The 13,247-nt window shown below is 38.8% G+C and overlaps 1 protein-coding gene across 3 annotated transcripts in view, besides 2 other annotated features; it reads left to right on the forward strand.

The window, feature by feature from the left end:
- The window catches only part of ME2 (malic enzyme 2), a 75,140-nt gene that overhangs the window by 12,135 nt on the left and 49,758 nt on the right, over positions 1 to 13,247 (forward strand). For all 3 annotated transcript variants that reach the window (NR_174094.1, NM_002396.5, NM_001168335.2), the window contains exon 2: positions 4,557 to 4,676. Coding sequence is in view for 2 of the 3 variants with exons in the window: in NM_002396.5 (NP_002387.1) it covers positions 4,569 to 4,676 (108 nt within the window). In the remaining variant the exon portion in view is untranslated. The remainder of the gene's footprint in view (positions 1 to 4,556; positions 4,677 to 13,247) is intronic.
- Positions 8,494 to 8,694: a silencer, noted in NCBI's record as "peak3150 fragment used in MPRA reporter construct". NCBI's record gives its function as "represses an SCP1 promoter by STARR-seq MPRAs in K562 erythroleukemia cells {active_cell/tissue: K562}" and the evidence as "EXISTENCE:reporter gene assay evidence [ECO:0000049][PMID:32103011]".
- Positions 9,537 to 9,586: a silencer, noted in NCBI's record as "silent region_9459". NCBI's record gives its function as "represses an Ori minimal core promoter by ATAC-STARR-seq in GM12878 lymphoblastoid cells {active_cell/tissue: GM12878}" and the evidence as "EXISTENCE:reporter gene assay evidence [ECO:0000049][PMID:35858748]".

Genomic DNA, 13,247 nt, shown 5'->3' on the forward strand with positions numbered 1-13,247 from the left:
AGCTTTTTCAAGAGGGAGTTTGAATATGTCAGAGGAGACACCGAGGAAGGTTAATCTGAACTACCAGACTACAAGGTGGAGTGGCCTTCTTTATAAATCCCACAGGGGATCCAAAGCAGGCAGTTTGAGCATACAAAGGAGTTTTACTTTGTTTTAAATCTGAATTCTGCTTGCTCTGTTCCTTTTGTGTCTTTTCATAGGTCTCTGAAAAGATGAGAGGTCTCTGCAAAATTTTCTCATAAATACAGCCAATTAATTTATTCCATAAGCACCTAAGCCAATAAGCCTTTTTCATGGAAAGTCCCAGAGGTAGCTTTGCAGGTTTAGAATACCATAGACATGAGTGGAATTTTTTAAATGGCACAGAATTGGTTCCGCATGATCCCCAAAAGAATTCACTCCCACAAAGAGGCTAAGATAGCAGAAGACTCTTGTTGCCATAGACAGTGAAGGATGGTGTGTATGTATGGTGTCTCTAGTATCACACAAATTTGTGGGGGGCATTGGTCACAGACCCATTACTCCATGACACCAGGACGCCCACCTGGAATTGGACTTATAATTTTTTTTTTTTTTTTTGAGATGGGGTCTCACTCTGTCATCCAGGCTGGAGTGCAATGGCACAGTCTCGGCTCACTGCAGCTCTGCCTCGCAGACTCATCCAGTCTTCCCAACTTAGCTAGTACCACAGGTGTACACCACCACACCCAGCTAATTTTATTTTTGTGTGTGTGGGTTTTTTTTTTTTGGTAGAGATGGAGTTTCACCATATTGACCATGCTGGTCTCGAACTGCTGAACTCAAACAATCTGCCTGCCTCGGCCTCCCAAAGTGCTGGGATTACAGGGGTGAGCCACTGCACCCGGCCTGGACTTGTAATTCTTTATAGTTGCTTTACTTTTTGAAAAAATGTTAATATCTTTAATCTGTTTGAAAGGTTTTGCTAACTGTAGTGGCAAATCCTTCTACCTATTCTTTTTCAAAATTTCTTGGATTTTCTCACATGTGCTCTTTCAAATATATATTTAAGCTGAGTCTAAAGCTCCATAAAGTTCAAGGCTGCAGTGAGCTATGATTGTGCCACTGCACTCTAGCCTGAGCTCAGAATGAGATCTTGTCTCTAAAAAAATAAAAATGTAAGCTCTGTAAATATTCTTGGAATTTTTGTTGGAATTGCCTTAGAACTGTGGATTGTTTGAGGGGAAACTGAAATGTTTACTGTTGACTATTCCCATCCAGAAATGGGTATTTCTATCCATATATTTAGGACTTCTTTATGTCTGTTAGTTTCTGTGTTGGTGTATTCCTAGGTATTTTATAATTTGTATTAGTATTGTAAATAGAATCTTTTATCCTATTACATATCTTAACTTATTATTGCTGATATAATCAGCCACTTTGCTGAAGTCTTCTTATTAGTTCTAGTATTTTTTTCAGTTGATTGTCTCAGATTTTCTAGGTGGCAGTTATATCATCTGCAGCTTTAGACCTTCGTTGTAAATGGGCCCAAAATAATGCTGCTTTTTTATTCTAAGAAAAACAATTCAGTGGAGTCATGAAGTGAAAAGTATAGCAAAAAATTACTCTTTAAGGGCAGGTGCAGTGGCTCACGCCTGTAATCCCAACACTTTGGGAGGCCGAGGTGGGCGGATCACAAGGTCAGGAGTTCGAGACCAGCCTGGCCAACATGGTGAAACCCTGTCTCTACTAAAGATACAAAAAATCAGCTGGGTATGGTGGCGCACACCTGTAATCCCAGCTACTCGGGAGGCTGGGGCAGGAGAATCACTTGAAACCGGGAGGCAGAGGTTGTAGCGAGCCAAGATCGTGCCATTGCACTCCAGCCTGGGCAACTGGGTAAGACTCTATCTCAAAAAAAAAAAAAAAAAAAAAAAAAAAACACCTTTAAATTTGCTTCAATACTTATTATAAAATAATAAGCATAAATATACAGAATAATAGTAATAAAGAGTGTATATGCAAAATTGTAATTTTATGGTATTTTGAACTTAAAGCATCAAGATGGTAGCATAAATTAATTTCTAAAAAGAAACCTGAACACTTACTTTTCATCATGGTTATTTCTGCTACACTATTACGGCTATGATAAAAATCCAGCAATGAAAAAGGATGAGGATAATGATGTAGCACCTGCTTAATGAATAAGACCATTCAGATGAGCAAAATACATAATTTCAATATGTTGTGTTACCTTTCCCCTGAAAAGGCCATCAGGAATTTGTTAGAGTTTGATGCCTCCCCAGTAGTTAGCCTTGGTAACTGAGGAAGTAATTGGCTTGTGTTTGACTCAAAAAGTTTGTGTAGGCTCAGCTACTGGTTATTTTTCTGTCTTACTGTCTTTTGAACAGCTCAGATATTTCTTAAAAGGGTCTCAAATCTCCTACGTGTGATTTTGTAGTTTTGTTCTACTGACAGAACATATTCAGAAATTAAATCATTTTTTTAACAATACATTGAAGATTTTCTACTGCTGCCTTTTCCTCTTACTCTTTCTGCTCTTCCCATTTTCTACATTCTTTGTCAGTGTTTTCTTAAGGCCCACAATTAATTCTTAAATTTCTTCTTTGAAGCTGTGAACAAAACCATCCCTACTATCTTGGCCTGGCTACCTGTACAGTGTTTTCCACTTTTTTGACAAAGAACAGGAAACCTTTTAAATCATTCAGACATTCTTTTCATTTATGTCCTTCATGCTTTAATTATTTACAGTTTAATTACATCTATGACTATTTAATATGAGTGAAACATTCTTGGCAATGTTGAAGGTCTTCTAACCCTGACTGCGTCATATTTAATATCAGGCTTACCATCCATACATGGATGTGTTGATGAAACTCTAAGCCTCATACAAGTGGTCTTGAAACATCAAATCACACTTGATTTCAAAGGTTGATGGATGGAAGTGGTATGGGAGGCAGAAAACAACTTCAGCAAAGTTACTTGCAAACTGGAGTGTTTCAGTGTCCAGGAATAAATGATCAAGCAACACATTTAAAACATCCCTTTTTGGCCGGGCGCGGTGGCCCACGCCTGTAATCTCAGCACTTTGGGAGGCCGAGGCAGGTGGATCACCTGAGGTCAGGAGTTCAAGACCAGCCTGGCCAACATGGTGAAACCCTGTCTCTACAAAAATACAGAAAAAAAATTAGCTGGGCATGATGGCGGGTTCCTGTAATCCCAGCTACTCAGAAGGCTAAGGCAGGAGAATAGCTTGAATCCGGGAGGCAGAGGTTGCAGTGAGCCGTGATCGCGCCGTTGCACTCCAGCCTGGGTGACAGAAAGAGACTCCATCTCAAAAAAAAAAATCCCTATTTTGGCCGGGAACGGTGGCTCACGCCTGTAATCCCAGCACTTTGGGAGGCCGAGGCAGGCAGATCACAAGGTCAGGAGATCGAGACCATCCTGGACAACACAGTGAAACCCCTTATATACTAAAAATAAAAATACAAAAAAATTAGCTGGGCGTGGTGGCGGGCGCCTGTAGTCCCAGCTACTCGGGAGGCTGAGGCAGGAGAATGGCGTGAACCCGGGAGGTGGAGCTTGCAGTGAGCTGAGATCATGCCACTGCACTCCAGCCTGGGCAACAGAGCGAGACTCCATCTCAAAAAAAAAAAAAAAATTTTTTTGAAATGCCTCTGAATTGTTCAGTTTAAAATGGTTACTTTTATGATATATGAGCTTCAAAAAAAAAAAAAATCCTTATGTAAATGGTTTTGCTGCCCCTTCACACATATCATGGATTTCTCCACAAATAGAAATCCATTTTAAAAAACTTCACAGCATAATAATTACAATGATTTGTAATGTTTAAAGAAATAAATAAGCATTTCAAATTCTGATTTTTGGTGAGATAATTGGTAAGTAGAAGACTATTATCACTAAATATTTTAGATTTAATGTATAGTTTTCTCTTTAAAAATGTCCATGTTTATGATGGATGCAATTATTTTATACATTATTTTATATAAAGTAATTACAATTACTTTATATGTTTTCTAGCCAATTTATATGATTTGTTTATATTAAATAACAGGTTTTCTAAGACAAAAAATTCTAGTACGTTAAATTTAAACATTAAACATAGTCCATTAAAATTCTAGGTCTAGATTAAGAATCAGGATAGTTTTTCTTCCTCTGTGTCTCTGCTTTCTTATTATTTACTTTTCCACCTTCAAGCTAAACTCTCACTCATTAAAATGGAACTCACTTTGCTATTTACTATGTTACCTCTTAATGTGTTTCTGTTACAAGTGGGAGATGCATACCTTGCCACACTTGTGTGACTAGAAAGAGGTTAAATGTTTTTTGCAGTGTCTGATACATAGTAGGTGGTACTTAAAGAGTAGCAGTGATTATTTCCCAAGAACATAAGAGTGTTATCAGAAAAAGTAAGTTTTCACCTTCGCCTCTTGTTACCTTTTTAAAACTGTTGCAGCCTGTGGAAACATAAATGTGTTTTGAAAACTGATACCCGATGGACATGAAGGCCTATAATATGATTCTCTTCAGTGGTTTATTTGCTTTGTTTTTCTCAGGTGAAAGAAAAGATGTTGTCCCGGTTAAGAGTAGTTTCCACCACTTGTACTTTGGCATGTCGACATTTGCACATAAAAGAAAAAGGCAAGCCACTTATGCTGAACCCAAGAACAAACAAGGTTAGTAACATTAATATCAATGTACATTTTCTCTCTTCTTATTAAAGTTTGATATATTTAAGACTGATAAGGTGTGACATATTTTTGTAGCTTTATGCTAAGGTTGTTCAGAGATAGTTGTTTACATGAAATTTTCACGCTTCTCCACATGGCAAAATCGTGGTTGCTTTATACCTCCTCAATTTCATCCTCATGACTTTTACCACCAGAAAAGGATTGACTTTGATTCCTAGTTCTAGCTTTAAAAAATAAAAAATAAAAAATCCCAGAATAGTGCTTTGGCCAGGACTTTGGGCCACATGTGAGATATTTACATTTCCCCAGCTCATATCAGGTACTCACCCTGAGCTAATCAGTTAGGCCCTTGGAAAGTAGGGTCAAAATTGTGAAATGAACCTTTATGTAAAGTCCACATCACCCCACCTCCACTTATCTTTTTGGACACAAACCATTGCACACAAAAAATTGTGCCCATTAATTAGAATGATTAGATGACTGCTTCAAAATAGAGAGACTCCTGGCTCTTTATTGTACTCTTGTGACAAAAGTGACGTGCAATATTGAGATCCAGTCATTACTTCATCCTTCATCTATGTTTGGTTCGGTGGACAAGTGCCTGCCTGTTTTTTAGTGGCAATATTAAATAGTAAGTAAAAGTTCTGGGAAGAGATTTTTTTTACAAGAAGATTGCAAGAGGATACATTGAGTTTATTGCAATATATGAAATTTACCTTTTGGGGAAAGGTAAATTCAAATGAAAAGTGTGACTTATTTTAAAAGAACAGTCATAAAAAACTTGCCAGTCCCGTTTGTTTCCCACTATCAGGGAAAATAGTTAATTGTTAATTGTTATCCTATGATAAGTTTTGAGGGGTTTCAGGCCTACAAAGGGGAATTTGACCATGGGTCACACAGAGCACCTCACCTTTGTATTCTTGGTACATGACACAGAATGAGTTCAGCAAGCAGTTAGTGTGTTAAATGAAGCTTAATGAAGGATATTCTGATCTTCTCTTGTTTGTGCCTGACCTCTCCAAATCTCATTTGCTCTTTAAGATGCACCTCATTTCAAATCCAGTTCTCCTGTAGAACCTTTTTACACCACCATGGACTGGAGTAATTACTCCCTTCTCTGAAACCCCATAGCAGTTTCTTCCTGTTCCTGTGGCAAGTAATCAATAGGTGTTGCTTTGTGCTTCTTTTCATGGTTTAAGCTGTTATTGAAGTCATTGATGGTAGTTACATTTTCCTGAGTTTATATCTTCTTGACTATATTTCGGGTTCCTTTTGGGCAGGGACCATTCAAATACTTCTGTGTATCTTTTACAGTGCTATGGGCGCATTTGATAAATATATTGGTTTTATATTTTATACTTATGGAAATAATTTATTTAAAACCTACTCTGGGGACTTAGAGATTATAAGAAATTTATAAAGTACATTGAGTGTCAAACAAGTTTGCAGATGGAGCATAGTCTAAGTGCATTACCATACTTCCCTAAAGAAAATAATGTCGGCCAGGCACAGTGGCTCACTCCTGTAATCCCAGCACCTTGGGAGGCTGAGGCAGGCGGATCACCTGAGGTCAGGAGTTCAAGACCAGCCTGACCAACATGGAGAAACTTCGTCTCTACTAAAAATACAAAATTAGGCCGGACATGGTGGCTTATGCCTGTAATCCCAGCACTTTGGGAGGCTGAGGTGGGCGGATCACCTGAGGTTGGGAGTTCGAGACCAGCCTGACCAACACGGAGAAACCCCATCTCTACTAAAAATACATAATTAGCTGAGTGTGGTGGAGCATGCCTATAAACCCAGCTACTTGGGAGGCTGAGGCAGGAGAATCGTTTGAACCCGGAAGTGGAGAGTGCGGTGAGCCGAGATCGTGCCATTGCATGCCATCCTGGGCAAGAAGAGCGAAACTCCATCTCAAAAAAAAAAAGAAAAAGAAAAAGAAAAAAAAGAATGTCTAACATTCTGGCCTTCTGAAATCCCTAAGATTGAATAGCATCTATATGGTCACATCATTGAAGGACCACTTCTGGAAACCCCTTAAACATCAGGAAGAGTTTATTTTTGTTTAAAGAACATAGACCAGTGATTCCCAATTCATGGGTTATAGACTCCTCAGGAACTTACCATGTAAAGAAATCTCATTTGTGCTTCAAATATTGTATACTTAATAACTTTTCACATTTTTGTAAATATTATCTTTAAGGATATGTTGCTGCTGTAATTAATAAAATAGTAATTAAAGGCAGTATTGAATTCTGAATCTTCTTAAATGTATGTCTGTAATCACTGTATACTCAAGGTATACCTGCTCTTTGTTTATAAAACTTTTTTATTGTGGTAAAGGAAGCATAATATAAAATTGACAATTTTAACTATTTAAAAGTATACAATTCAGTGACATTAAATTTATTTAGTGTTGTGCAACCATCACCACTATCTAGTTCCAGAACTTTTTTATTATCCCAAGTAGAAACCTAGTATTATTTCATTTTATTTTATTTTTTTGAGACAGGTTCTCACTCTGTTGCCCAGGCTGGAGTGCAATGACACTATCATGGCTTACTGCAGCCTTGACCTCCCCGGGCTCAGGTGATTTTCCCATCTCACCTTCCCGAGTAGCTGAGACTACAGGCACGTGCCACTACACCTGGCTACTTTTTGTATTTTTTTGTAGAGATGAGGTCTTGCCATGTTGTCTATGCTGGTTTTGAACTCCTGGGCTCAGGTGATCCGCCTGCCTTGGCCTCCTAAACTGTTGGGATTACAGGCATGAGCCACCACACCTGGCCAAAATTTCTTACACTTTAAAAGGTGGGACACCATTATGCTAGGTTATAAGCAGGAGTTTAGGTGCTAATTTGGGCTTTACCATTTACTAGCCATGAAACTTTGGCAAACCCTTCAACTTCTCTAGGCCTTAGTTTTCTTCATGTAAATAATATAGGTAATAGCATTTGGAAACATTTAAAGGGCTATACAAGTATAAAATTGGATTTCTCCTTTTCTCCCCATGCTCATTTGGCTAACTTTTCTCATAATTTTCTGAAATTCAGCTCTGCATCCTTTCCCACACAGCAGAAGGTGAGCAGTGGTTGAGCAAGTGAATCTTCATCTGTATTTACAGCCACTCCTCATGGCTTGCATTACCGCCTGTGCTCTGCCTCCTGTCAGAGGAGTGCAAACCCTATTGTGAACTGCGCATGCAAGGGATCTAGGTTGCACACTAATTATGAGAATCTAATGCCTGATGATCTGAGGTGGCACAGTTTCATCCTGAAACCATTCCCTACCCCCTGAAATAGAGTCAACAAGATAAAAACTCATGAAAATGTAACTATCATCAATGACTTCAATAACAACTAAGACATGAAAAGAAAAATTGTCTTCAGCTGGCTGTGGTGGCTCACACCTGTAGTCCCAGCACTTTGGGAGGCTGAGGTGGATTGCTTGGGGTCAAGAGTTTGAGACCAGCCTGGCCTGGTCTCTACCAGCCTGAACTCGTCTCTACCAAAAATATAAAAAAATTAGCCAAGCACTGTGGTGCATGCCTATAGTTTCAGCTACTCAGGAGGCTGAGGTGGGAGGATCACTTGAGCCCAGGAGGTGGAGGTTGCAGTGAGATCGTGCCACTGCACTGCAGCTTGGGTGGCAGAGTGAGCCCCTGTCTCAAAAAAAATTGTCTTCCATGAAACTGGTCACTGGTGCCAAAGAGGATGGGGACCACTGCTCTAGGAAGTTTTCAGTGACCCTTTTTCCTAATTCCTCACCACACTGGGTGAGTTACTCCCCTGTCCTTTGAGCATTCTTGTGCTCACTTCTGTCAATACCATGTATCATACTCAGTTGGAATTATCTCATTCCTCCATTGAGGACAATGACCATATCTTAGTCTGTATCCTCATTATCTTACCCCACAGTACTTAGCACACACAGAGCCTCAGTACATGCTGGGTAGATGGATGAATGCATAAACAGATGAGCAAATAGGAAAACAAAATCTGACATGATTGGTGCTCGGAGTTTCACAGATAATTAAACATAGGTTTTGTTTCCAGAAAATAAGTTTGGATTAGATAGGAGTTTTGTTACCTACTCTTGTAAAACAAGTTAGGAAATACCCCTATTCACACCTCTTTTCCCCATGTACTGATTTATGTGTTTTCTTATCATTTTTTGAGCAAGTGAAGCTTCATCTGTATTTACAGCCACTCCTCATGGCTTGCATTACAAAGCCCATTTCATCTTACAAAGTCTTAAAAATTGAGTGATGCAGTTTTTTTTTTTAAATAAGAATAGGGGGAGGAAGAAGGAAAAAAGTAAGAATAATTTTATTTATTTATTTATTTATTTATTTATTTATTTATTTATTGAGATGGAGTCTCGCTCTGTTGCCCAGGCTGGAGTGCAGTGGCGTGATCTCGGCTCACTGCAAGCTCTGCCTTCTGGGTTCATGCCATGCTCCTGCCTCAGCCTCCCTAGTAGCTGGGAGTACAGGCGCCTGCCACCATGCTCAGCTAATTTTTTGTATTTTTAGTAGAGATGGTGTTTCACTGTGGTCGCGATCTGCTGACCTCGTGATCTGCCCACCTCAGCCTCCCAAAGTGCTGGGATTACAGGCGTGAGCCACTACGCCCAGCCAAGAACAATTTTAAATTACATTAAAAAGTTTTCAGTTGAGTGATATGATTTGGCTCTGCATCACCACCCAAATCTCATCTTGAATTTTAATAATTACCACGTGTCAAAGGTAGGACCAGGTGGAGGTAACTGAATCGTGGGGGTGGTTTCCCCCATGCTGTTCTTGTGATAGTGAGTGAGTTCTCACAAGATCTGGTGGCTTTATAAGGGACTTCCCCCTTCGCTCAGCACTCATTCTCTCTCCTGCCACCCTGGGTAGAGGGGCCTTCTACCATAATTGTAAGTTTCCTGAGGTCTCCCCAGCCATGTGGAACTGTGAGTCAGTTAAACCTCTTTTCTTATAAATTACTCAGTCTTGGTATTTCGTCATAGCAGCATGAGAATGGGCTAATACAATGAGTATATTTTATTTCAAATTTATGTATTAACACCTAATTTCTGTACCAAAACAACATAAGCCATAGAACATGTGATGTGAATAATTGTGGATTTGTGATGAACAGAGCTTGCCACTTAGTTATAATTTGCCCTTTTAGTGCAATTTCATCTCAATTAACACATTTTCAGAAGTCTAAACAAGCATTTGAGTGCTAGTGAGGCACTGGCTACATAGCGCCTATCCGTATTGAGGTTAAGGGAATGCATTTTATCTCCTGCTTATAAATGTGTGTAAATGGATTCTATCTCCTGAATCGTTTGCCTTCTATCTTACATTTCTCATTACAAACGTAAATCAGTATTAAAGAGTCTGATTTGTATTAAAGAGTTGTTTTAGTCTTAGATTATTTCTGTTACTCTCAGGATATGTCTTATATTAGATTGTACAAGGCTTAAAGATACAGATAAAATGTGCTTTAAAGTATGAAATGAGTACCAGAAAATAAATATTTGGTTGAATCAGAGAGATGAGAAAATATATAACAAATGAATTGGCTATTCATTTTTAGTGTGGATTTAAAGCTTTTAGAGGTAGATATAAGTGATACTTTCTTTTACACTGTAATAATGCTTCCATAGGGTAGAGTGCTCAAACAAGAAATTTGGGAAGGATTCAGGCTGAGGTCTATTATGATTACAACAGTAAAAGTGTACAATTGTTTGATTACAAGGTGAGCCAACTCTAAACTATGTACATAGCCTCCGACCCTCAATTTTGTTTTTCACTTTTGTTCTTCCTGCCTCTGTGTTGGCTGCCTTAGCAAGAGAGATGCCAACATTTTTATTGATGACCCAGTGGGCTAAAGGTATAGGAGTCCTTCTGAAATTTTTTTAAAAAAACACCTGAACACTATTGATATAACCTAGTAATTCTCAAGTAACTCCTGCTATCTACGTTTTTTTCTTTTTCTAGTTCCTCCCGTAATACTACTAAACATCTCTTTTAAACCAAGTATTCTTTTCAAGATGTAAGATTGTGAAGAGATTTTACTACAGATTCTTAATTTATTTCAGCCAAATTCAAATATCCTAATGGACTCTATTTAGAATAATGAACCATAGATTGCCAGAACTAAAAGAGCTAAGTACATAGTAAATACCTATGCAAACCATTAACTTAATTCGAGAAGGAGTGTTAAAGAAGAGAATCAATAACTCCTTTATTTTGTAGATTCCATCCCTAAGATTTAAGGACATGCTCAAGCTTTGTATCTGGAACTCTGGTTTTCTGGTTATTAGTTCTCTGAGGGTTTTGTTAATTTATTTGTTTATATTTTAACTTCTCCCGGCTAGTTCTTTAATAAATTTAGAATTTTCTTCTGGTTATTTACACAAATAATATGACTAATAAAAGATTTAAAAATCACATTGCTATTATTCTATCACCTTTTTTGGTGAGACAGAGATTTACTCTTGTTGCCCAGGCTGGAGTGCAATAGTGCGATTTTGGCTCACCACATCCTCCGCTCCCAGGTTCAAGCGATTCTCCTGCCTCAGCATCCCAAGTAGCTGGGATTACAGGCATGTGCCACCACGCCTGGCTAATTTTGTATTTTTGGTAGAGACGGGGTTTCAGCGTGTTGTCCAGGCTGATCTCGAACTCCTGACCTCAGGTGATCCACTCGCCTCAGCCTCCCAAAGTGCTGGGATTACAGGCGTGAGCCACTGTGCCTGGCCTCTATCATCTATTTTTATTTGGCCATGATTCTCTTAAAAGTATACTTACTTTTAAGATTATAACATATACTTTTATATGCAATTTTACCACTGGGAAAAGTATACTATAAATATATCTCTAAAATGTTTGATAAGCTGTATAATAAATATATGGGTGCATAATAGTGTAGTAGCCTTTGGATTTGGAATTCCAGTGGCTGATGAGACTCCCAGCTTTGCACCTTTACTGGCCCCCTAGCATGTTTACCTGAATGTTCAAGTGTCTGTTTAAGAGATTTGTGTCAATATTGACTCGTGGAGAAACTGCATGTGCCTAAAGTAAAATAGTTCAGGGTCTTTCAGGATCAGCTGGAGGAAGTACACCTCTGCTATGTAAATTGGGAGGGAGGGAATTGCTGTTGCATAGATGAGAAAAAGGGAGACTTGGGAAAAGTGGCAAAGGGAGATGGAGAAAGTAGGAGAAGAGTAGATAAGAGGATGATCATTTCTGCTTAATACTAAACTAACCAGGCCATTCATTTTAAACTAATGTCATCATCACAGGCTTGCTTCACTTATTAACACCAGCCTAGCAAATTTAAGAACTTAATCAACTGTTAACATAAATATCTATACATAAAATTATTTAATCATTTTATTTTTTACTCTGCATTATAAATAAATCACTTTTGAGTGTCCCTTAAATCTAAATAGGAAATAGGCAGTGCAGCCTTGTGTAGTCAACTCCATTTATCTTTGGCAATAAGGATAGGCAAAGCGTACTTTTTTTTTTGAGACAGGATCTTACTTTGTCACCCAGGCAGAAGTATAGTGGCACAGTCATGGCTCCCTGCAGCCTCGACCTTCCAGGCTTAGGAGATCCTCCCACCTCAGCCTCTGAGTACCTGGTACTACAGGCATGTGCCACCACACCTGGCTAATTTTTGTATTTTTGTAGAGATGAGGTTTCACCATGCTGCCCTAGCTGGTCTCAAACTCCTGGGCTCAAGCAATCTATCCGTGCTGGCATCCCAAAATGCTTGGATTACAGGCATGAACCACTGTGCCTGGCCCAAAGCACTTCTAAATGAACTGCATAGTTCATTTAAACATACGTTTTAGCCTTTTCCTTTACCCTTTTGCTAGAGTTGGAAAAAAAGACGCAAGAGTGACAGTTTTGGTTTTACCTTCTTTGTATTTCCCAGCCTTCAATAAAATCATACAAGGAGAAACATGAGACACATGTTTATTATTGTCTAGCGTCTCCTCCATTATTGAAAGTGGGTATTAAAGTCTCCAACTTGTTGAATTGTCTTTCTTCAATTCTGTTAGCTCTGCTTCATGTATTCTGGACCTCTGTTGTTAGGTATGTCTATATTTATAATAGTTATATCTTCATAATAGATTCACCCTTTCATCATTGTAAAATGTCCTCTGTAGTAGCAGCATTCATTTTAAAGTCTGTTTTGTCTATTGTTAGTATAGCCACTCTAGCTCTCTTTTGGTTACAATTTGTGTGGTATATCTTTTTCCATCCTTTTACTTTCCACTTATTTGTGTCCCTTACAGACAGCATATAATTGGATTATGTTTTCTTTCTTCTGTTTTTTTTTTTTTTTCTGGGACAGAGTCTCACTCTGTCAGCCAGGCTGGAGTGCAGTGGTGCAATCTCGGCTCACTGCAACCTCCACCTCCTGGGTTGAAGCTATTCTCCTGCCTCAGCTTCCCAAGTAGCTGGGACTACAGGCACCCACCACCACACCTGGCTTATTTTTTTTTTGTATTTTTAGTAGAGATGGGGTTTCACCATATTGGCCAGGCTGG

This window comes from Homo sapiens, chromosome 18 (assembly GCF_000001405.40).
Source record: "Homo sapiens chromosome 18, GRCh38.p14 Primary Assembly".
Lineage (NCBI taxonomy): Eukaryota > Metazoa > Chordata > Mammalia > Primates > Hominidae > Homo > Homo sapiens.